Source organism: Homo sapiens, chromosome 13 (assembly GCF_000001405.40).
Source record: "Homo sapiens chromosome 13, GRCh38.p14 Primary Assembly".
Taxonomy (NCBI): Eukaryota; Metazoa; Chordata; class Mammalia; order Primates; family Hominidae; genus Homo; species Homo sapiens.
Genome location: NC_000013.11, coordinates 75,297,328 through 75,323,250, shown reverse-complemented (window position 1 = coordinate 75,323,250; position 25,923 = coordinate 75,297,328). Strand labels below are relative to the sequence as shown.

Here is a 25,923-nt window from a genome sequence, read left to right as displayed (position 1 = left end):
TTGTTTGATAATTGGCACTTCTTGTAGTCAGGAGAGGAATACATGTTATCCACTAGCCTGTGTGCCATTAACATCTTCTTAGATATTCTTTTGGCCTATTTCTCTTAGACATAGTACATGCTAAAAGTTAATATATAACTAGGTAGCACTCACTCACTAGTTAAAGTAGACTAATCCTTGAATTATTCCTGAGGGTCTTTTGTCCATGTGTGCCTTTTTTTCACTTTAAGAAAAGATAACTAATACTGGATTAATATAATTTTGATCCTGAACTTTCCTCTGAATTAGTACAAAGTCATGTTCCAACAGTGAATTTGATTTATAGTGAAGAAAGTATATGAAGAATTTACTTTAGAGTGCTTTCAGGGACGACCTTATGGAAGAAATTTCAAAGGAAATAGCCACAAAACTAGTATAAGATATATAGAATATGAAACTAATTTAGAGAACCAAGAATATACATAAAGATATCAGTTTGCCGTATCTCTATAATACGGCCTACTGATAAGAATACAACACTTTCAACCAACCTATTTGCATTTTCTTATTGTTATGTTTGTTAAAGTGAGTATATGGAGAATCCCAGTTTCCTTCCTGAGAGAACCATGCCTGAAAGTGACAATTAGCAATACCCATTAAGATCAAAGGTTAGCTGTAACTAGGATGTAAAGCACAAAAGTGGTGGCTTCTGTCTATACAGATTGTTCATATTGTTTAATATAAGGTTATTCATTTGCTTTCAGGAGTTCCTGCTTAGTTGTATGTGTTCTTTTTGCCAATAGCTTCCCAAAGCCCTCTATACCTCATTCTAATAGAAGGATTTTGAAGTCAAAGGGCAAATACACATTAGTTTTGGGTTGAAAAATTTCACCTTTTTGTAGCTGTGTTGTTTTAAGTGGTGTATTGAAATATATGGCAAACTTTTAAATTTCTAAGATCATTAAAAAATCCTTGTTTTCTGTATGTTTTAATGTTTTCTTGGCTATGTGCAATTCTAAAAATCAGAGAGTACTTGTTTGTACCCTTTTCTACACTTTGAAAGTTTGATAGCAGAAAATGAATAGGCCAAAAGTGTACTTAAAAAATTGTTTTCCCAGGAAAGGACACCAATTGAAAGCACACAGCTCAATGGATTATCACAGAGTGAACACCACTATTTCTCTTCACCCCAGTCAATAAATGGAATGCTAGCAGCATGCCTGCAACTTCTCCCATGTCCCCCATCTAATCACCATCCCCATGCTGACCTCAGATATCTTAGATTAGTGGTGCTTGGCTTTGAACTTTGTATAAATGGAATGATACAGCCTATATTCTTTTATCTCACATCTTTCACTGACATTCGTTTGTGAGATTTAATTCCTCTTTTAATGAGCATTTTATTTCATTCATTTTATTGCTATTTAGTATTCCATTTAATATATCTCAATTTTTCCATTCTCTTGTGAGTAGACATATGGGTTATTTCTAGGTTTTTGGCTTCAAAAAGAGTCCTGTCTTCACTATTATTATACATGTCTTTAATTGTACCTACATATGAATTATTGATGAATATCTACACGGTAGTAAAATTGTTGGACAAAATGCTCTCTTAATAGGTTTATCTGAACTAGTAAGTCACTTCAACATAAATGTTCAAGTTAGAAGATTGGAGAATTTTTAATTTGTATTTTGAAACAATTTCAAATTTATACTAAAGTTGCAGAAATATCACAGAGGATTCCTGTTAACCCTTTATCCAGGTTAATCAACTTTTTATATTTTGCTACATTTGTTTTATAATTTTTGGTCCATTTACATATATATATACATATATATGCACCGCTATATTTCCTCATTCTAAGCCATTTGTGAATAAGTTGCATGCATCGTGTCCGTTTACTCTTAATACTTTAGGGTGTATTTCCTAAGAAAAAGGATATTCAATTCAAGAGCATGGTTTCTGAAACCCAGTGGTTTCTGAACTCTACATTCTCATTATCACTTGTTTTAGAGAGGATATCATGTACACATAATTACTATGATATCTGGAACTATTCAGAATAGTGAGGGGAGAAGGTTCATAGTACTATCAGTTATAATTTTCTTGTCAGTTGAATACTTAATATCTTATTAGTTGCATAAAATGAATCTCTAAATATGCATAGTCAAGTAGGGAATAGGGTAGGGTAGGAGATACGCTAACAATACCATTACTTTTTTTTTTTTTTTGAGATGGAGTCTTGCTGTGTCGCCCGGGCTGGAGTGCAGTGGCTCAATCTCAGCTCACTGCAAGCTCCGCCTCCCGGGTTCACGCCATTTTCCTGCCTCAGCCTCCTGAGTAGCTGGGACTACAGGCGCCCGCCACCATGCCCGGCTAATTTTTTTTTTTTTTTTTTTTTTTGTATTTTTAGTAGAGACGGGGTTTCACCGTGTTAGCCAGGATGACCTTGATCTCCTGACCTCGTGATCCGCCCGCCTCAGCCTCCCAAAGTGCTGGGATTACAGGCATGAGCACCGCGCCCAGCCTACTATTACTTTTTTAAAAGCACATTATTTTGAAATTTTAAATTCAGATTAGGCATCCATTTCCAGGACCACTATCCTGAATTACTGAAAACAGGTTACTATTTTTAAGCAGGCTGAGAAAAAGGAGCCAAGATCTTTTTAATAGTTGGTTAGTAGATTTATTTGCACATAACTGAAATGATAGAGGAGAGGGAATGTGTGTATTTTTTCTTTTACCTCACTTTGAATTAATTTTTCAAAATTTAATGTTATTTCATTGTTTAGTAAACTATAATTTTATATAATGTTATGGTAATTTTTATAACATCTGCTTATTAAATATTATCACAGACATATTTGTTACTTTTTACAGTGCTTCTCAGGTTTTAAGCCTGTGCTTAAAAATTTATTTATGTTGAAATTCATTGCTCAGAAGTAAATGACAGTCAAAAAAAAGTAAATGATAGATACTACTTCTATTCACTGATAAAACTTTTCAATGAGAAAATAAAATCTTTGATGATGAAGTACTTTGTGGTATAGTTTTTGTTCTATATTTCTCTTGTATTCAGTGAAAAAAAAAGGTATAATTATTCATTGTGGTTCATTATTGAAGTAACCTTACCATGACTTATTGATGACTTATTGGAATGCCTTTTATCCTGAATCCTGATTTGGACATATTTGTGTGTGCTAATTCCATTCCTTGTTTTCCTGTTGTACCAGACAAGACACTGCTTCAGAATCAAGGTGATTAGAGGTCTACGTATTTTTATTTAAAAAAAATTCACAGATTCTTCCAACTGAACATCATCCTTAGTTTAAAAAGCAGTTTTGTTTGTCTCCTGAATGCATGCCATCTTTCTGAGTGCTCTGAGGGCTATATAGTAGGGAAAATGTGACCCTTGGTGTAATCAAAGACCATGAATTACCATGTAAAATGTTGATTGCAGACAGAAATCCTGTTTCTACTCTATTCCATGCTGAAATTTCCTTAGAGCTGTGCTGTGGCCTTCAACCAAAGCCTAATTTTAATTTTAAATTAATAGAAGTGGATTTGCTAGTTAGGGGGTACATATGTGCCTAAGTGGAGTTTATTCCAAATGCCAAGAAGATGCAGAAATGAGCATCCTAAAAGAAACGTACTCACAAAATTGAATCTGCCTTTCAACTGAAGAGGATTATTCGTCTATTTCTGTTCACCTAAATTCCTGTCACGTTGGTCACTTTGAGACACTGCTAAAGCCGTTCAGACCTCCCATTTGTCTGGACACAGGAAACACCTAGTTCCTTATTATGGAAGTTTGACCACATCTGTGTTGACATCTCTTGACTCACATGCTTTTTTTGTGGTGAACATCTAGAATCACTGCTAACAACCACTGCAAATAACTGTCCTCTGCTTTATTCCAGTTTCTACATGTTGCTTTTATCATGAGCCCAGTGAAAAAGATACATGCCCATCTTCCTATTTGGGGCCACTATTTAGATTTCTTTGTAGCTAGAGTGAAAATATAATATTAAGTATCGCACTAGACTGAGATGTTCAAGGAGAAAAAATCCTCAGAAAATTATTTTAGCAACAATTATAAGATTAAAAAGTGACTTTTTTGAGACTGGTAATTGGCAAGTCTCAGTCATGGTTAGGTGTAAGACCATTTAAATAATACTTCTTACCTATTCTTAAAAGCCTAATGGAAATGTTAGTTCTGCCTTGTGTCCTTTTAGGTATGGAATTAGCTCTGTTTATTACTTTAGAGTTAATCTAGTCTATGATTTCCTTATTTTACACATGGATAGATTGAACTCCAAAAAGGTTTTATATTTTGCTTGATTTTTTTTCAGCTTAGGTCATAAGGATATAAATAAACATATGAGATACCCAGAGATGTTTTAAATTCCAATATACTAAACTTATTTTCTTAAAATCTGCAGTGTGTAGAGTTTAGGAAATAAAACTCTTTGTTTTTCTGCTTCTTTCATCTACACGTTGTTCCACTGACTAATCTATCTCTTTTGACTCATAGGTCAAATACTATATATTGATTTCCACTAGAATAGTTTAATCTCAATTTTACTTAATTAGTAAAGATTTTCCATAGGATAACAGACATGTATGCAGTTAAAAGCCAGAACCTATATAAACTGTTAGTGCACCTGATGCAATTATGAGTTAAATTATACTGTGGATCCTGTAGAAAAAATATGGTTTCATTTCTATGAAATGAAATTGTTTTACTTAGCATTTCTTAAGGCTTACAAAGAGAAAGCTTTTTCAGCTTTCGGTTCAATAGTTGCTATCACACTAATGAAGTTTTGGTATCTATCTTATGTTGAATTCATTGTGATTTAGATACAGATTTAGACAGTGTTTTGTCATTTATTTGGACTTCAGAGATAGAGTCTTGCTGTGTCATTCAGGCTGAAGTGCAGATGCTGGGAGTTTCAACTGGGTGCCAGAGGGTTGGGGGATAGGAGGCAGGTTGCTGCTCAGTATAACACCACCTTTGCAAGACTGGTCCTGACAGAAGAGTTTGCCTTTGTGCAAAGTATATCTGTGTTGCCCTGGCAGGAAGTAAAATATGACTACATCCTTCTTAAAGTTGAGTCTCTGTGAGTGGTCATTAGAGCATCTCCATTCTGTACAATAGTCAATGAATTCTTTTAAAGCAGGCAAGTAGACATTACAATTCTATGTTAAAATAAGAAGTGGGATGTTAATTTAAGAGTTGATCTGGTGAAGACTATAACTGCTTGTTCAAGGATATGTTAAAAGATTATCTTGAAGCTTTGACAAGTTCATATTATAGCATTTGATGGATCCTATATACAAAGGACTTGGAAATAGCCTTCCTACCCTATATTGGGGGATATATGTAATACGGGACATTTTCTCCCCATATGAAGTCTGAATTTGTGTTCACAAACTGTGGTTCTTAATTAACTGGTGAGTGGTAAGAGGGAGTATATATACAATATACCAGTCAAAAATGGGTGGGAGTTCTCCAAGTTATGTTTCCTTCCTAGATATTCATTTTTTAACTTTGTCAATTTCTGATAGAGGTAATGCTGGCACAGAATACTTTTCCTGAATATGTATCTTGGGAAGGAGTTTTATAATACACATGCTTAGATTCCAAAATACAAAAGAAGAAGGAAAAAATTCTATGGAAACATAAGGGAATGGTTATAACTTGCTTCATCATTTAAGAAATGTAAAGATGATTAAAATACCAGTGTATGTATATTCAACTATATTTAGGTGTTTTTTTATTTGGTCCTTCTATTTACAGTTAAAAGTGTATACATTTTGGAATGTAATTATTTCAAAGCAAAGAAAAGGAAGTGAGACATTTACATAAACGAGCACCTGATAGTACTCTGAAGTTATTTCTCTGTTGATATAAAATTAATCCATTAAAAAATGGAAAGAGAAGTACCCAATCAAAAGGCTTAGTGCTAATTGGAGACTTAATTTTTCACCAGAAATGCAGAGGATCCTGGGGGTCCCAACAGCTTTGTTTTTGTGGTCCTATAGAGCTTTGTTCAGAACTAATGCAAGGAGTATTTACACTGGCAGGATCAGCTGCAGTGCCTAATGCTGGATTCTGGACCACCTAGGTTTGCATCCTGGTTCCTTCACTTTATTATCCGTGTGACTGTGGGCAAGTTACTTAGCCTCTTTCTACTTCAGTATTGCACCAAAAATGGAAGTAGTAATGACATCTACCTTGCAAGGTTGCTGTGAGGATGAAATTAATTCATACTCGTAAAATGTTTAGAACAATCGATACCTGGCATGAAGTATGTGCTGAGAGTCTTAGCTTTATTATTATTACAGTAAACACCACGTGTTGTTTTATTTTTGTTTTTACTCAAAAAGTAGACATTATGCTTTCTTACCTAAGTTTAATCAAAGGAAAAGTTAATGTGATAACTAATGTTGTAATAAAAACAAACAAACAAACCAAAAGAAATAAACTCCCTCCACCCCCATCCCAGTGTAGTTTCCAAGTTGGGTTATAGGAATTTTGATGCAGTGTTTCATTTGGTTTTGATTCTTGCAATTGCCACCTTAAGAATGTCAGATTGCTGACTAAAAGTAAATCAAACAGGAAACTGCTATAAGTTGCATAATAGCACTGACTGCTTAAATGTTTATTGGGAACTTGACTTCTGAATACAGATCTTCTCTTATTAAAAGCAGAGCTGCTTTTGCCATATCTCAGCAACCAACTACTTTTTCAAGATGTCGATTTTTAGTACAAGATAAAGGGTCAATGGTTTGTTATGTAAGTTCTTCTTTTCAGTATATTATTATCTTCTATTTTGACTGCTAATTTTTTGGCTTATTACTAGTCAGTAAATTCCAGACATGGGAGAAAAATTTGTCATTGGGCAGTTTATATTATAGGATTTAAAATTTTAGGTTTATGAAATTTTTGAATATCAGTGGGCTAATGTAAATACTGTATGCGCCTCTTTTATAACATATTGCCCCCAAAACTTTGTATTTTATAGGCAATCATGAAACTGATATGGGTACAACTCAGTTTTATTTTTAGTACGTTCTAAACACTTGATATGTCATTAGCAGTGAATTGGAAGGTGATTCTTAAAAGCTGTTTTAATTCCAGCATTAAAATATAAACATTTCGGAGTCCTCTGATTTGGTCAACTCTGGTTTGTTAGAGCACTAAAAAAGTCAAGCTAAATTAATATTTGTTGATCTTTTGCCCTGTGGAGCATTGACATAGTGCTTTTAAATAAGTATTTCATTTAGCTTTCAAAGCTTAAAGTATAAATTAGATGGCTTTATGTAGGAAAGGAATAACACTTACTAGAAAAAATATGCTTTTTGTTGTTTATTAACAACATTGTCATGGTCAATACCTACCAGTGCCATCAACAGTTCAGAACATACTTTAGAAAAACAAAGCTATTAGGACTTGACTCCCAATAAAGGGTTTTAAGAAGGTAGATCTTTTATTTATTCCTGACATGTTAGCCTAGCCAGTATTTTTGTCTGTTTCACTTAAACTTCTGAGTTAATATTTCATTTAGTTTTATAAAATATTAATTTATTCAGTAGATATTATTCAGTGCTTATTATTTACCTGTTACTACACTACAAGCTAGAAATATACCTATGAACTGGGCATTTAGCAAATAACTGCCATCAAGGTCGTGTTACAAAAATGAAGATAATGAGTACTTCAACTGTATTTATTGGGTTGTAACTATTATATATAGAACATTTGAATCATATTTTTAAAAGGGAAATACTTGCATTAATGTTTTCCAAAGTGCAAGTAAAAGCAAATATATATATATATATGTGTGTGTATATATATATATATGTGTGTATATATATATGTGTGTGTGTGTGTGTGTATATATATATATATATATTCAATATTCAGGAAGGTTTTTTGTTTTGTTTTGTTTTGTTTTTTGGGACAGAGTCTTGCCCTGTTGCTCAGGCAGGAGTGCAGGGATGCGATCTCGGCTCACTGCAACCTTTGCCTCCTGGGTTCAAGCGATTCTCCCACCTCAGCCTCCTGAGTAGCTGGGATTACAGGTGTGCACCACCACACCTGGCTAATTTTTGTATTTTCAGTAGAGACAGGATTTTGCCCATGTTGGCCAGGCTGGTCTCAAACTCTTGACCTCAAGTGATCTGCCTGCCTCGGCCTCCCAAACTGCTGGAATTACAGATGTAAGCCATTGTGCCCAGCCTCAGGGAGTTTTTCTAAAAAAAAAATTTAATTATAATTTTATTTTGACATGGAGCCTCGCTCTGTTGCCCAGGCTGAAATGCAGTGGTGCATTCTCGGCTCACTGCAACCTCTGCCTCCCGGGTTCAAGAGAACCTTGTGCCTCAGCCTCCCAAGCAACTGGGATTACAGGCACCTGTCACTAATGCCCAGCTAATTTTTTTTTTTTTTTTTGTATTTTTAGTTGAGACAGGGTTTCACCATGTTGGCCATGCTACTCTTGAACTCCTGACCTCAGGTGATCCGCCTGCCTCGGCCTCCCAAAGTGCTGGGTTTACAGGTGGTGAGCCACCGTGCCTGGCCACTGCCTCAGGAGTTTTGAACAATGGACACATATTAGGGTTATAGTGTTATCCAGGATGCATAATAACCAGAGTTTGACTATATTGAGATATATGTATCAAGTACTGTACTTTCTAAAGTATCACGTCATAATACTTACTCTCTGCATAGCAGCTCAGAAGTCTTTTTTTTAACTTTAATTTAGCCAATCCAGAAGTAATGTTTCCATAAAATAGATCCAGACTAGAATGAACTGAATTGCCTGAGTAAATAAAGATACGATAGGCAGATGCTGAATTGCTCTTCTCACTATTAATTGCCTCAACACTATTGAGTTCCTTTGAGTATCTGAGAGTGGCTGTTCTGTCTGAGCTTTATTTCTGACCTCAGCACTGACCTTTTGATTCCATCAAAAGTCTTATACCTTCATTTGTTGGTATCATCACCTGTAAATATTGGTATCCTTATTGTTCTCTCAGGCAAACTCAGACTGTGAAACTTAAAAATGTAAGATATTCCTGCCACTAACAGCAACAATTATTGTGAGGTCTTCCAGCAGCAAATATAATTGGTCTCAAAAATGATTTTGAGTCATACCGACCTTTTTTTGCAGATAGGCCTAGCATAACTCAAAGTGGTCTTTTTTAGGAAATGAAATTTTGACAATAGAGGAGCATTTTCTTATGCACTAATATAGAATGATGTGACACTACTCCCTGTCCCCCAAAAATTGAGGGAGGTGATTCTAGAATCAATTAATTTCAATAAGTTGGGGAATTTCTATACACTGTTTCCCTGTTGGAGAGGTACAGTGCATGCCAGTGTATTAACAGTCTCTAACAAGTACTGCTATAAAGAAATCTGTTAACATTTTTTAACAGGCTGGGTGTGGTGCCTCATGCCTGTAATCCCAGCACTTTGGGAGCTGAGACAGGAGAATTGCTTGAGTGCAGGAGTTTGAGACCAGACTGGACAACACAATGGGACCCGGTCTCTACGAAGATTTTTTTAAAAAAATAGCCAGGTGTGGCGGTGTGCACCTGTAGTCCCAGCTGCTTGGGAGGCTGAGGTGGGAGGATCTCTTGAGCCTGGGAGGTCGAGGCTGCAATGAGCTGTGATTGCGCCACTGCGCTCCAGCCTGGGTGAAAAAATGAGACCTTATCTCACAAAATAAATGTCAATAAAAATATAAAAAGATCTATTTTTTAACTTAGCCATCCAATCTTATTTGACCCCAGTTTTTTCTTAGTATATCACCTACCAATAATCCCAAGGTTGACTGTTCTGCTTATATTCAGGTTATCATCTGCCATGATTCAACTGTTGGTAGCTGACCATTCAGAGACACATCTTAACAGTCGTAGGCAATTAGAAACAGTCTTTATTGACCTGTTCTATAAGAGCTCTAACAAAAGCTCTTTGTGAGGCTTTTATGGAATATTTACCTTGTTTCAAATAAGCTATTCATGTTATTTCCTTAGCAAAGCATGAATTCATGACTTAAGCAACCTGTACTCCTCCTTATAAGTGCTTCTGTTCCTCAGATTAGAACTAGGACTGGTTGGCTGCTAAGGAATGAGTAGAAACAGGGGAGCTTCTCTTGACTGGGCTGTGGCCTAGATTGCTGTTTCCCCAGGATGTGGTGGCCTGGGTGACTAGTGTGCCTGGTGATGCATTGCTCCATGTTGCCTGTGGCTTGTGCTTGCCCGTGACAGAACTTGTGAATGGCTTGTGCTACCAGTTGGTTGTGAAGTGCCATGATGTGCAGCTCTCCTTATAAGTGATATGTTTATTTGCTTTCAACAGTGATGGAGAAGGGAGAAAAAGGACCTCATCTACCTGCAGCAATGAGTCCCTAAGTGTGGGAGGAACCTCTGTCACTCCTCGCCGGATCTCCTGGCGGCAGCGCATTTTCCTCAGGGTTGCTTCTCCCATGAACAAATCTCCCTCAGCAATGCAACAGCAAGGTCTGTGTTGCACTCCCTAAGGAATTTATCCCTCTGAGTGTCAGAAATTAGCTAATGGAATGCACGTGCTGTGTATAAAGAGATTTAAGTGATTACAGTGTAGAAATATCTTTCTGTATGTGATACAGTGGTTTCTCTTTCAGGTATCATTAGAAAACATTAGGCATTCAATACCTGCTTGTTGAATGAATGAATGAGTGAGACAGTTTCCAAAAACCTGTACTTGGGCCTACTCCACAAGGTAGACGGAACTGTGATAGTGCTAGGAAAGAAGCTGTATGTCCTTTTTCTTTCTTTCTTTCTTTCTTTCTTTTTTTTTTTCCCAGAGATTGGGCCTTGCTCTGTTGCCCAGGCTGGGGTTGCAGTGGTGTAATCATAGCTCACTGTAGCCTTGAACTCCTGGGCTCAAGCAATCATCTTACCTCAGCTTCCAAAGATCTTTTTATTATTAGAAAAGCAACATAGCCTTTTATAAGAGCCACACATAAAACAAACTGACATAGAAATATTGAGCAATAAAGGAATATATACAATATACTAGGCAAATACTGAGCAAAAGAGAGCACAGGCAGCTCTCTTTGAGTAATTGACCTATTAAACTAAAGCAAAAGCATCCAAAGAGGCAAGCACATGTAACAGTAAACAAACAGATAGAACAATCATGAGAACATACATAATGATGTAGCTTTGAGAGCTAGAAAATAACACCTAAAAGAATTCTGGAGTGAAATCGATAAATTAATAGCTCCTGTGGGAGATTTTAACATACTCATCTTTAGAAATTAAATATAAATAATATTTGAGTAACACAAATAAATAAGCTTGACCTAATATTTATAGAGAACTTCGCCTCCTATGGAGAAAACTCATTCATTTTTAGCACACTTGGAACATTCATAAAATGTAATTATGTACCTGTCCACAAAGATTTTTAAGTAAATCTTTTTGAAATCCAAATAATCATAATCATTTATACAAATATTCTCTGACCACAATGCCAAAAAAAGAAAGAAATCAAGGATTAGAAGACAAGTAGAATGACATGTGTTTGGGAATAGAAAACTACTCTTAGAAGCTAGAAGGAAGAAAATTCAATGCTTAGAGCCTTACCTATTGAAACGGATCTAGGGAGCAGTTAAAAGCCATGAATATATTGATATAAAATCAAGAAGGCCAAAAATTAGTTACACTGAGTGTTCAACTCAAAAAGCTAGTAAGAGAGCCAGGTATTAAAATTTTAAAACAACAACAGTAAAACGTATGGAAGTAAATAATAAAAGTAAAGGCAGAGGTCAATGAATATATATAAAAAAAGAAGAAAATAGAAGAAAACAACTGGTATTACTAAAGATGAAGTTAACTCTGCCCGAGGTGGTCAGAAAAAGCTTCACAGAACAATTAGATGTTTATTTAAACTCGTTGCTGGAAGAACCATGCTTTAGAAGGAAGGAATGACGAAGCTCTGGAGTCATTTGAGTGAACTTTGCAGATCAGAGAATCATGAGAAATTCAGCATGATGAATGCAAAGAATAGAAGATTGAGATATGAGGCTGGAAATCTGAGTGGAGACCAGAATCTGAAGGAACTTAAATGCTAGTCCCAATTTGTTCTTGCGATATAAGCAACCATTGAAATGTTTTAAGAGATGTGATTATGGTTGTTAATAGGAAAATCATTGGCAGTAGGAAGGGAGAGAATGAGTCACCTGTTAAGGGAGTGTTGCACATGGAATACTGCACAGCCATGAAAAATAATGAAATCATGTCCTTTGGAGCCACATGGATGTAGCTGGAGGTTATTATCCTAAGAATTAACACAGGAGCAGAAAACCAAATACTGCATGTTCTCACTTATAAGCGGGATCTAAACATTGAGTACACATAGAAACAAAGAAGGGAACATTAGACACCGGGACCCCCTTGAGGGTGGAGGGTGGGAGGAGGATGAGGATTGAAAAACTACCTCTCAGGTACTGTGCTCACTACCTGGGTGGCGAAGTCATTTCATTTGTACATTGTACCCCAGAGTCACGTAATTTACCCATGTAGCAAACCTGCACATGGACCCCTTCAACCTAAAATAAAAATTGAAAAAGAAAAAGAAAAAGGTGTTGCAGGAGGAATGAGCAGAGGGAGTACTGTGCTCAGCCAGGAGAGGCCCAGCATTGCTCAGTGGCTATGCTCCTGACGGATTCTGATGATCGATGTAGACCTTCGGAGATCACTGATACCTAGCCACTTAATCTCGTTCCTCACAGCCAGAGAATATACGTAAGTAAATTGCAGAAGTGTTGGACTCAGGAGAGGCCAGTTAGTTTTGGGGCACCTCTCTTACAGAGCTCTTTGGGTGGAAAGAAGAAGTGGTGAAATGACCTATGCTTCTGTTTCATCATGACAGGGAAATCTGGAAGGGGAATTCAGTCTAGTGAATTTACTTAAATATTAGCTGCAGAAACTAAGTTACAGGGAAAGCGGCTTTGTGACATTTTTAAGTGTAGAAGATCAGATGAGAATGTGAATTCTACAGAAACTTGGGTAGTCTGGGTTACTGCTAAGGAATGCCTCTCACTGTGTTCTTCTCTGCAGATGGATTGGACAGGAACGAGCTGCTGCCACTGTCCCCCCTCTCTCCAACCATGGAGGAGGAACCGCTGGTTGTATTCCTGTCTGGGGAGGATGACCCAGAAAAGATTGAAGAAAGAAAGAAATCAAAAGAACTGAGGAGCTTGTGGAGAAAAGCTATACACCAACAAATCTTGTTACTTCGAATGGAAAAAGAAAACCAGAAACTTGAAGGTTAGCCATTTTAACAGACTAAATGCTATGATGCTATGATTGAAGGGTGTATGTTAAACCTACCTTTCTCTCCCCATACATACTATCCGCACTCAGTTTTGGACTGTATGCACACTTTAAGAAGAATACCTACTGATTATAATTGTTGATTTCCATTTTGTGAGGTGGTTATAACATGGGAAAGGTCAGCTTAAGATATTTGTGGTTTTGTTTTAAATGGGTTTGCATTTTAAATAGATTTAAGACTTAAGAAACTCTTAGAGTATATTTAGGTAAAATAGAATGTAGATAATATGGAATCAATGTATTTGATGTGTCTGAAAGTTCATTATCTTAGTGTCACTTCTAAAAAATCCTTAAATATGAGAAAGCAAATTTTCTTTTCTTTGAATGTGATTTTCAAGTTTCAGGTTAATTACATTCATAATGGGAGAAATATGCCTACCTCAAGTAAATCCTACTTACATTGTATTCAATTTAACTATTTAATTATAATTATCTGTTATCAAGCCAAACCTATTCCTATTTTTTGTTAATGCTTTATAAATTTTCTATTTAACAAAGTCGTATTCAAATCATTATATTTATAATCAAATAATTTATAATAGATTTTGTACTGTTTGTGGTGCCTTATTGCTAAGATTATGATTACCAAATGCTTTGGAATGTGTTTTTCAGCCTTTGAAAGAATGATATAATTTACTCCAGTACTGATAGAACCACATACAAGGAGATGCTAAGAAATCCAAAAAAATGTATAAATTTCATTATTTTGGGAAAATCACTTAACCTGAAAGGGTCTCATTTTTACACTTGTAAAATGAAACATTTAACATAAGTGGTCCGTTTGACTTTTAAGATTATTGGCACAAGTATAATTTAGATATTTCTCTCACTTGCCTTTATTTTGTGGTCTTTCATACAGCTTTTTTAGTATAGGTATTCCACATTTCTGACTTTATCATCTACCTTAAGATTCTTGTTACTACACCTATGATTCAATTTAATTTTTTTATTTTAACAATATATAGTTTGCAAGAGCACATTTTTTAAAATCGCTGTTAGCAGAGTGAAAAGTACATAGGATTTTAAATATCCTTTGGAAATACATCTTCTTTTCTTCAAAATTAAAAATGCTATTACTTGTCGTTAGCATAATTTTAAAAGTTCAGTTTGATAAATGGTCTGCCCACTTGAGGTTTCGCAGGCTTCAAAAGAAATTGAATTCATATTTGTAAGCAAGTAGTTATATTTTGAACTAACTCAGAAAAAGAGGTTGAAAAAAAGGTGGTCATCCTTTCCTCAAAAAATTTAATGCATGAAACTGTATTTCACTTGGGAGTATGTACAAATAAAATCTGATATTAAATATCAAAAGGTGGTTTCAGAATCATAGACTATTTGAAGTAGAAATAGCCTTAGAGATTACTTAGCTAGATTCTTCATTCTACAGTAGAAGTAGTGACTGGCTTGGGAAAGGTAGAGAATTAACCTAAGGTCAAATAGTGACATACTGGCAGAGCAAGTACCAAAACTCAGGTTTATTCATCGTGGTTCTCGGGCTTTCCCCAGCACCCCACAGTATTTCTCAGCTGTGTATGTTAATATAAGGAAATGGAATGTTTTACATAAATGGCTGCTGTGTATTCTGAGATCAGTTATACTATATGATTTTACAGGTTAAGAAAGGAGGTGACATTTAGAATACATTCTCAGAAACCTTCATCGGTTCTCTGTTTCTCTGCCTACATAACAAAGATAAAAAATAGTTTAACCTATGAAAATTCTAACCAATGGATAATTATTTCTTGATAGTTCTTTAGTCTTTTCTAGTTAAACAGTTAAGGGCAGATATTAACTGTCCCTGTTCACCATTTTATCCTCAGGGTGTGCGGCTGGCACATAAGCAGATGCTCGTGATTATTTTAAATGATCAATAATCTAGAGAAGATTAGAGAAAAACTCTAAGGAAGTAATTATGTTTTGTCCATCATGAAGAAAATAATTAGTAAAGTTATATATAGGAGTATATTTGTTTTTAGCCTTAATAAAGCCACACCTTTTAAAAAATTACTTGGTTATCAGAGAAATATAAAGCAAATAGCCAAACAGCCAAGCTAGACAGTGTTAGAAAGCCATCTGTGGTATCCGGAAGGAATAGTTTTGTACTGTGATTTATCTTTAGATTATGTTTGGACTTTTAAGTAGGAATTTTTACTGCCTTGCTTGAATAACAGTTTGTTATAAGATATTTTAAGTCTTTTGAAATGGTTTCAAACACACTAAGTAAAGAGTAACTTTCATTCTGCTGTTGTTTTTGTGCTGTCGAGGACTTGGGATGCATGACAAAGATTTGTGTTGCAGGAGGTAAGGTGGCCGAGCGCTGTGAGCATGCATGAATACAGATTGCTCTGAGATGTTCCTGTCCACCGTGATCCTAATGAAGAGAAGAAGTATACTCTTGTGTCTGCTCTTCCTTCTCTTTTGAAATCAGTTTTTCATGATAAAGAACAAATCAAGATACTGGTTGCTTTTATAGACATTTCTTTTAATGAGCTCTGGGCGGATATGTTAGACCATCAAATTAGAGAGAACTCTATATTATTTTAAAAATAGAATTAGTGTTAACTTCAGTGAAAGGAATTTTTCTTTTTAAGTTTATTACAAATGAACACAGGAGGGCTGGGTGCAGTGGCTCACACCTGTTATCCCAGCTCTTTGGGAGGCTGAGGTAGGAGGATTGCTTGAGGCCAGGAGTTTAAGACCAGCCTGGGCAGCATAGCAAGACCCCATCTTTACAAAAAAGTTTGTCAAATTAGCCAAGTGTAGTGGCGCATGCCTGTAGTCCTAGCTACCCAGGAGGCTGAGATGGGAGCTCAGGAGGTTGAGGCTGCAGTGAGCTATGATTGCACCACTGCACTCCAGCTTGGGGTACAGAGTGAGACCCTGTCTCTAAGAAACAAAAGCAAAAACAAACGAAAGAGAAAATAACGAACATGGGAACACATAAGCTAGTTTTATTAGTTATTAAGGGCAGTATGGATAACTCTGGAAACAGTTATAAAAATGTATCATGTTATGGTCATATATTTTTCAAATCAAGATGAGCATGAGTCTTTGTCTTCTCATGTATGGCACATATAAAATATTAACACTTCAGTGGTGTCAAAAAATGGAAAATTATAGAATGATCAACACGGTTTACTTTTTATACTTAGCAGAGTCGCCATATGTAAGATACAGAGTAAAACCTCCTTAGGAGGTTATTCCTCATTTTTTTTCTCACATGAAATGACTCAAAGCTTGGGACCCTTTCATGTATCCTCAATTTGTTTTAAATTTTCTTTTTGAGATACACTACCAGTTGATTCCTGAAAGTCATTTGGTATGGTTTTACAAATACAATCAAACGTCTAAAGTTTTACATTTGAAAAACACATTGGTCTTACGTAAATTGTTTTTTTCCTTAGCAAGCAGAGATGAACTCCAGTCCAGAAAAGTTAAATTAGACTATGAAGAAGTTGGTGCATGTCAGAAAGAGGTCTTAATAACTTGGGATAAGAAGTTGTTAAACTGCAGAGCTAAAATCAGATGTGATATGGAAGATATTCATACTCTTCTTAAAGAAGGTATTTGGGATAATCTCAGTAATTTTTGTTTTTTAAAGAAAAGCCTGGGGGATTTTTTTTTTTTGTTTGATTTGTGGAGCTCAGATTTTGCTTAGTAATTTTGTCCTTGTGTTTTGCTTAGTAAAAAAAGAGAAGTAATTTGTTTCTTCCTGTAGTTTAGTGACTGTCTCTGAGGAGGTAGCACAAACCTATTTTCAGCATGGTGGTGGTGTTTACCAAGGAAGAAGTGCATGCATTGATACAAATCTTTGATCACTGCCATAAAAATATTAATAATTCAGTCTTTCAAACTTGACTCATTTTCATCATTTGGTCAGAAGTATTCATTTACATATATGTGTATATTTACATGACTGTGTATATATACTTGTATGTATTTATATGTATAGATTTATATTCTGGCTAAGTAATCAATCAATTTTCTTTCATCCATTCATTTCTTCACTAATTTTGGAGAAGTTGCTTTTATTTAGCCATTATATCGCATTTATTCTTTTATTGCTGCTATGCCATATAAGATGCCTGATATTTAAGAATTTTAAATTTAAAAATAAAACTAATAAGTCAACTTTTAGTTGCAGTTTCTGTGACTCAGATTAAATATATTAAAATTAGAATCTCCATAGCCTGCATAAACTGTGGGTGTAAAATAAAAATTCCAAAATACCCAAAGAAATTCTATAATGATTGTTGTTTTAAAAGCCTATGCTAATGTGTGAGACTGTTGAGCCACAGTTAAGTTTAAATTAAGATAAGTGTTATTTTGAAAGCTGCTGCATTGACAAACTTAATATAGTGTTCTTTATCCTTGAAGATATGGAAATCCTAAAGATTTTTACTGAATGCTTTATTTGGGAGACACAATAATGGTTAACAGAATGTCTATGAGATGTAGATCACACCATTTTTTGGCATGACTTTCAAAGATATTTTAGGAGTGCTTATCTTCCTATTTCTTATTGGATACAGTTTAAACTTCTTGGCCCTGTGCCCAAGGCCTTTGTACTAGTCCATTTTTAGGCTGCTGATAAAGACAAACCCAAGACTGAGTAATTTCTAAAGAAAAAGAGGTTTTATGGACTCACAGTTCCACGTGTCTGGGGAGGCCTCACAATCATGGCGGAAGGTGAAAGGTGTGTCTCACATGGAGGCAAACAAAAGAGAATGAGAACCAAGTGAAAGGGGTTTCTCCTTAACAAGCCATCAGATTTCATGAGACTTACTCACTACCACAGGAACAGTATGGGGGAAACTGCCCCCATGATTCAATTATGTCCCACCGGGTCCTTCTCACTACACATGGAATTATGGGAGCTACAGTTCAAGATGAGATTTGGGTGGGGACACAGCCAAACCATACCATTGTTCTATAATATCTACTTCCTCCTTTCTGATCTCATTTTGTTATCTCTCCTTACCTTGTATTGTGTGCTCTATTTTACTTTGAGCACTGATATGTCCTTTGCTATTTCTTGCATGGAATGTTCCAGCCCTCCCTATTCTCCTTCTTCCTTACTTCTCTACATTCTCATTTCCCATCTCCCTTTCTTTCCACTCCATCCTCTTCTCACTCCTCTTTCTTCCGCCCTTTCCTCTGCCCGTCTCAGGGCCTTTATGCGGTCCTCTCCTGGAGTGACTGCTGCCTGCGCTTTAAGCCCAGAGCATCCTATTATCCCTCAGGTCCCTCAAATACCATTTCCTCAGAGCACCACCCCTGCCCCCCGACCAAAATCAGTTCATTGTACTTTATCATTCTTTTTCGTGATTTATTATACTTAATCATAATTTACAGTTTAATAATTATGTGTGTATTTGTTTAATGTTTTTCTTACCCCACCACTGCACACCTAGCACCTAAGACAGTATCTTGCACTCATTACTAGATGAATGAATGGATGAATGAATGAATGAGATGATTTTCCTGAGAATGGATTTATTCATCACTCAATGATGAGGCATCCTGACTGCCTTGCTTTATTCTCTGTTACATACTGGATGCTCAATAAATGTTTGTTTGACTGGAATGAAGTTGCTTTTTGTACATTTATTATTGGTTGGATAATAAAACTGCCCACTCATGTTATCAGTGATTCATTTAGTGGGCTGATAGTTACCTTCTAAAAATGACATTTTCTATGCTGTCATTGATTCATTCAACAAATGTATAAGCAGCAAGGTATATTCTTGGATTTTATCATACAGAGATGAAAATATGCTTGCTATTCTCAAGGACCATTTAAGCCGGGAAAAGAGACAAAACTTCAATATAGAGCTAACTGTAATCTAATATGGTAATGTTACAGTATGAGTCAAATGGTGTGTGAAAAGGGACTGATTACATCTCGAGATGTTAGGGAGAGCTTCAAAAGAAAAGGTGACACTCAAGCTCATTCATGAAAGATGAATAGACGTACAATGGGAAGTCAAGCGAGGGAGCTTGGAATTCCATAAAGGCAACAGGAGGTGCAAGAAACTGGAGAAGTGAAAATAACCACAAGCGTCTAGTATACATCAGGGACTGGGAAGTAATGGTGCTTAAAAAGGTAGTTTGGAGCTATATTGTAGAGGCCTCATAAGTCATGCCAACGAGCCTCAGTTTCACCTGTCGGACAATAATACTTTCAGCTTGTACAAACTCTGGCAATCAGTCAGAAGAGATTACTGTCATTAAGCATTTCCTTAACCAGCTGGAGCAAAGGAACCCATTGCCGATTCAATGTGTCCAAACTGAAAACTCTTAGTGAGTGAAATAAAGTTGCCTGCACTGTGCAGAATTGAATTCTGTCCCTCCCAGTGCTTACTTCATTTCCCTTGGCATAAAAAACATAGTCATAGTGTCCTTGAACTGCTTGTGATACATTTTGGTGTTCAAGCATACTAGAGTTAATGTTTCATTATATGTGCTAAGCATTTTCTTTTCAAAGCCCGAATGTTGTTCTGGAGCATATCAGTTACGCCTTCTTATTGTTTACTACTTATATTATTTCTTTTTTTTTTAGACAGAGTCTCGCTGTGTCTCCCAGGCTGGAGTGCAGTGGTGAGATCTCAGCTCACTGCAACCTGTGTCCCCCAGGTTCAAACGATTCTCCTACCTCAGCCTCGCGAGTAGCTGAGATTACAGGTGCATGCCACCATGCTCGCTAATTTTTGTATTTTTAGTAGAGGCAGGGTTTCACCATGTTGGCCAGGCCGGTAATGAACACCTGACCTCAAGTGACCCACCCACCTTGGCCTCCCAAAGTGTTGGGATTACAGGCATGAGCCACCGTACCTGGCCTATTCTTTCATTTTTAATGCCCATATAAGAATGCTATTTGATTCTCTATTATAAAGTTACTTGTTGATGACAAATATTTAGAGTTGTAAATTAGGTTTAGCATTTGTTGCTATCCTCAAGCCAGATAAAGAGTGAAAATAGGCAGTAATACACTTTGGGATATCAGGATTTGGCCTCTGAAACCAGACTTTTGGAGTTCTAATTCTAAACTGCCACTTCCTAGCCATGTGAACTTGGGGCAATTACTTCATCTCTTTCTGCCTCAGCTTTCTGTCTATAAAGTGGACCTAATAGTAATTGCCTACCTTATAGTTGAGTTGTTTTCTGAGTGCATGTGCTTAGTAGCTAGGCACCCTCAATAAATGTTTTATTAATGCTCAGTCAGCAACGGGTGATGTTATTGTTAATATTGTCATTATCGTAAGTGTTGCGTGAGGGTTTTCTTTTGCAAGGCATCAAGAGCTATAGGATTCAGCTTGTCAAAATATGCTTCTGTCAATTATATTGTGTGGTCTTAGGGTGGCATGCAGTACATACAGCTGCCTGTTTACCAGAATTATATAGTGAATCAGCTGGGATCTATCAACTTCATTCCAGAGTTCAAGGCCTTGGTTATTTATCTCCTTCATTGTAGGAGTTCCCAAAAGTCGACGAGGAGAAATTTGGCAGTTTCTGGCTTTACAGTACCGACTCAGACACAGATTGCCTAATAAACAACAGCCTCCTGACATATCCTATAAGGAACTTTTGAAGCAGCTCACTGCTCAGCAGCATGCGATTCTCGTGGATTTAGGTATGTTTGTCATGTGGATTATAATTTACAAAAGTAAACAGCTGATCCCTCTGTTAAGTTTTTTTGGTTTTTGTTTGTTCTTGGTGCTGATAAAGAGCACCTGTTGGCATATGCAGAGCCGTTGACTTTGTCCTTTACTGAGGGCAAGTTGGCCTTATACCTGATTGACGATCCCATAAATGCCTGCGTGTTAAATGAAGTTTTCACCCCAAAACTTTGCCTCTGCAAAGGGAGCCATCTTATATTTAAATTATTATAAAGGTCATATTATGGGGTGCTCTCAGTTACTGCATTTTGAACAACTGACTTTTTAGGGCAGATAGTTGTATCTTAATCAATGCTGGTTTTGAAATAGCTTAGAATAGGTTAAAAATTTAACAAAGGTGTACTAGGTATTCCTGGACACACTGCTGAAAACAATCCTTTATATGTCACTTTAAAAAGCAGCATGATAAATGGTTATGTTGGTGGAAATTATGACTATACACCTATAGGGTGAGTGAAACATTAGTTGCACTAATAGTGTAGGAATGGGTACTCATGACCTGGCGGAGAATTTCCAGTGACAGAATCATAAAGCAGTCTTTTTTTTTTTTTTGAGATGGAGTCTCCCTCTGTTGCCCAGGCTGGAGTGCAGTGGCACGATCTCTGCTCACTGCAAGCTCCGCCTCCCAGGTTCATGCCATTCTCCTGCCTCAGCCTCCTGAGTAGCTGGGACTACAGGCACCAGCCACCACGCCCGGCTAATTTTTTTTTTGTATTTTTAGTAGAGATGGGGTTTCACCGTGTTAGCCAGGATGGTCTCAATCTCCTGACCTCGTGATCCACCCGCCTCGGCCTCCCAGAGTGCTGGGATTACAGGCATGAGCCACCGTGCCCAGCCAGCAGTCTTCTTAAATGCTGATTTTCAAATAACTTATGGAAATAAAAATGCTTTGATTTTTAAAGATTGTATTGTCTCTAATTTTTCTCTAACATACTTTATTATTTAAAAATATCTACATTATTAGATTAAATATTATATATTGGCATTTGACCACTTTATTTGTACTCCTAAAAGTTGATATATGTCAGGTGGCCAGATATGTTATTTGGGCCCATTTGGGAAAATACAAGATTACCTTATGTTTGGGGTCATCTTATATTAGGGCATATGAAAAATCACTAGCCAAACCCTAGTTTTTACCTCTGTTCCTTTTGGATGACAAATGGCTCTTACTGGGAAAGGACCCAGCTCAGTTAATTATTTTTTTGAGCCCAGCGGAATTAAAAAGGGGATTTTACAGAGAAACTGAAAATGAGTTTTTGTGCTGATTGTGCCACTAATTGTGGTCTTAGACATATTACCTTCCTTCTGAGCGTCCATCCTCTCTACTAAGTGGGGACATTGAACAAGGCAATCCCTATGTTCCCAAGCAAATCTGTGGTTCTCTGACCATAAATTGATGATACAATCAGGGTTAGTCACGATGTCCTATTAAAGAGAGAAAATGAGATCATATTACAGTCAGACAAAAATGGAGCTAGAATCAAGTTAATGGATAGAAAGTGTATTTATAGTTTTCCTTAGTAAAAATTTTAAGTGAGAAAGTAAAACCATAATTTTAAAAATTGCTTATTTGGCTCTGCTTGTAGCCATCTGTGTTTCTTCAGCATGCAATTGTTATTTTCTCATATCTTCCTCTTACTGGCTCTGCAGAATTAATCTTATTGGTTCCTAGAAAAAAAAATCACTTTTAAGCATATGTGGGAGAAAACATTTTAAAACCTGGCACTCTTGCAAGTTCTAAATGACATGAGTAATCATTTCACAAGGAAGCTAACATCCCCCTTCATTTTTGTGGCCCTAGAAAAATGCCCATACCAATATAGACAGCTTTGATGTGAAGACGGATTTGTTTCTGTGTATAGAACTCTCCTTTTAGTGATGCAGGACTCACATTGCCAGCTCAAGTGTCTCTGTGGTAATTTTATACCTAGAGGTATATTTTAGAGGGGAATTTATTTGAAATTGACTTGACCCTTTATTTTCCTTGATATTTTTAGATATTGAAAAAGAAAAGTGGTTTACATGGCTCATGGAGGTATTTTAAGAGCAGAGAGCGAACGATAGTTGAAAAAGCAGTTTTCTTCTGAATGACAGTCTGAATGTAAAGTCAAACAAACCCAAAAAGTCCCTCCAGTGTCATAAGAAAAGCAGAAATAAACCTGTTTATAGACTATGAAGATTTTCTTTTAAATAATATAATATGTCTTACAGACTTCTGGTTTCATTTAGAAGGTAGTCTTTATATGAATTAGAATTTGCCTTGCTTTATAGTCAGAATAAAATTTATATTCCATTTTCCTGGTATTTCTCCTGGGTACATCATTGGTTTGTGGATTTTTATTGTATTTTTTTTTTTTTTTTTTTTTTTTTGCTGGAAAGAAGTACTGGTTAGCATAAAATGTTTCCTCCCATATCGTATATGTGAAGATGGTATGGTGGCCTGGCAGAACTTGGGGTGAGAGAGGGAGAGACTCTTAGTTACATGGTGACTCTAAGCAACTCTCACTGGTTTGGGAAAGAGTGTCTGTTTATTCTTGGAGGTCACTGAATTGCAATTTCACTGTTGTCTCCAAGGCATGAGGACATTTCAAAAAATATTTTCCTTCTTTTCCTCTGCAGGAAGGACGTTTCCTACTCACCCTTACTTTTCAGTACAGCTTGGGCCAGGACAGCTGTCACTGTTTAACCTCCTGAAAGCCTATTCTTTGCTGGACAAAGAAGTGGGATACTGTCAGGGGATCAGCTTTGTGGCTGGAGTCCTGCTTCTGCACATGAGTGAAGAGCAAGCCTTTGAAATGCTGAAATTCCTCATGTATGACCTCGGCTTCCGCAAGCAGTACAGACCTGACATGATGTCGCTGCAGGTGAGGCACTTGTGCTTCCCGAGGAAGGTGTGAGACTATTACCAGAAATCCTGGCCCTCTTCTCAATTATTACAGTTCAGATTTAAAGAAATGTAGAGCCATTGTCTTAGAACTTGGGTAAAGATTGGGGCATGTTTTAGTTCACTTAGTGTGGGATTTGCTATTTAGGTAAACTTCTAAGTGTATGAGACCCAGAGGCAGAATACCTTTTCCATAAAATTCCTGAAGTAAGTAAATAAGTAATTTAAGAAAGGTAGGTGATGAGGACCCAGTCCTTTATGCCCTAAGTCTATGGGTTACATGGAGAAGGTATCAAATCATCTTTATTCACTTTTTCTCAACTTCTCAGTTGAAAAGGCTCACAGATCTTTTGTTTACAATCTGAAAGTATCTTTATCCCTTTACTTTTGAGTACACAAATAGCAGATACCATGTTATGGTTCTTTTTGAACTTATCATTGATATCTCCCCTCCTTTATCTTCATGTAAGATAGGCCTTTACAGAGGAAAAAGTGTGAAAGCCAGTGGTGCCTTTTCAGTCTGCTTTGTGTGTGTGTGTGTGTATGTGTGTGTGTGTGTGATGGAATCTTGCTTTGTTGCCCAGGCTGGAGTGCAGTGGCACGATCTCGGCTCACTGCAATCTCTGCCTCCCGGGTTCAAGCCATTCTGCTGCCTCAGCCTCCCCAGTAGCTGGGATTACAGGCAGGTGCCACCATGCCTGGCTAATTTTTTTGTATTTCTAGTAGAGATGGGGTTTCACCATGTTGGCCAGGCTGGTGTTGAACTCCTGACCTCAGGTGATCCGCCCGCCTCAGCCTCCCAGAATGCTGGGATTACAGGCTTGAGCCACTGAGTCTGCTTTTCTTAGCAGGCTCTGAAGAAGCACCATTAAGATTTTCCAGGTATTTTGAGTGGGGTATTAACTGCCACTGCTGTCTTTAGCCTACCTCAGACTCCCTGTTTGCACATTTCTCTCCTAGTTTTCACTTCTCTAAGTGGGTTGGTTGCTAATAAGCAGTTTAAATTTTGTCTATAGATACTTAAACAACCACTGCCTGGCAATTTAAAGCTTTCAGTGGTTAAAAATATAAAAGAAGACTTTAAAGAGGATTCTCAGGTTTTTCCTCCCTTGAAATGAGGTATGCATGACTCCCAGTTCATCATAATACTGTGCTTTAGATAAGAAGTAATAGTTTAAAGATGCTTTTAAAATATACTATTTTTTTCTGTTTCCCAGAGATGAGTTTTTTGCCTTTAATATCTCAGTTGCCAATGTATAACAAAAGAATTGTATTTTTAGTCTGAGCGTTATAGTAAATGATATTTTTTGAGAGTATGAATGGAGATGAAGTATTCCATTTTTCTTTACTTTCTGAAGGTAAAATTTTGACTGGGGAGATAGGGCTTTGCTATCAACATTAGGTTTTCTGGTGTGAGTTCATATGATTTGATTCCTCATTGATGACTATTCGTAGGTTTAACAAGTCAAATAACAACTGTGGAAAGTTTTATTTTTTATTCCTAAAGAGTTTACCTGTATCTTTTTATCTTTTTATCGTTTTTTTTTTTTTTGGAGACGGAGTCTTGCTCTGTCACCCAGGCAGGAGTGCAGTGGCGCGATCTTGGCTCACTGCAACCTCCACCTCCTGGGTTCAAGTGATTCTCCTGCCTCAGCCTCCCGAGTAGCTGGGATTACAGGCATGCACTACCATACCCTGCTAAATTTTTTGTATTTTTAGTAGAGTTGGGGTTTCACTGTGTTGGGCAGGCTGGTCTCAAACTTCCGGACCTCAGGTGATCCACCTGCCTTGACCTCCCAAAGTGCTGGGATTACAGGCGTGACCCACTGTGCCTGGTCACCTGTATCTTAATATCAGATAGGAATCAGATGGTCTTGTAAGGAATTCAATAATTCTGATTTTCAGAAACAACGGTTTGGTAGCTATTATTAGAATTTCAAAGATACAGGGAAGTACCTGTGAGTAGTGTTTGATCTGGGTCC

General features: G+C 36.8%; 1 protein-coding gene across 11 annotated transcripts in view, besides 1 other annotated feature; it reads left to right on the top strand.

Moving 5' to 3' along the window:
• Positions 1-25,923, top strand: part of TBC1D4 (TBC1 domain family member 4) — a 198,667-nt gene that overhangs the window by 158,919 nt on the left and 13,825 nt on the right. For 7 of the 11 annotated variants that reach the window (XM_047430811.1, XM_047430810.1, XM_047430809.1 and 4 more), the window contains 5 exons: positions 10,353-10,513; positions 13,100-13,309; positions 16,780-16,938; positions 20,850-21,008; positions 23,677-23,921. In XM_047430811.1, coding sequence (XP_047286767.1) covers positions 10,353-10,513; positions 13,100-13,309; positions 16,780-16,938; positions 20,850-21,008; positions 23,677-23,921 — 934 coding nt within the window. Of the gene's footprint in view, positions 1-3,213; positions 3,238-10,352; positions 10,514-13,099; positions 13,310-16,779; positions 16,939-20,849; positions 21,009-23,676; positions 23,922-25,923 lie in introns of all 11 variants that reach the window. The other 4 variants (XM_011535331.3, XM_005266603.3, NM_014832.5 and 1 more) reach the window with 1 other exon arrangement.
• Positions 12,601-12,660: an enhancer, noted in NCBI's record as "active region_7821". NCBI's record gives its function as "activates an Ori minimal core promoter by ATAC-STARR-seq in GM12878 lymphoblastoid cells {active_cell/tissue: GM12878}" and the evidence as "EXISTENCE:reporter gene assay evidence [ECO:0000049][PMID:35858748]".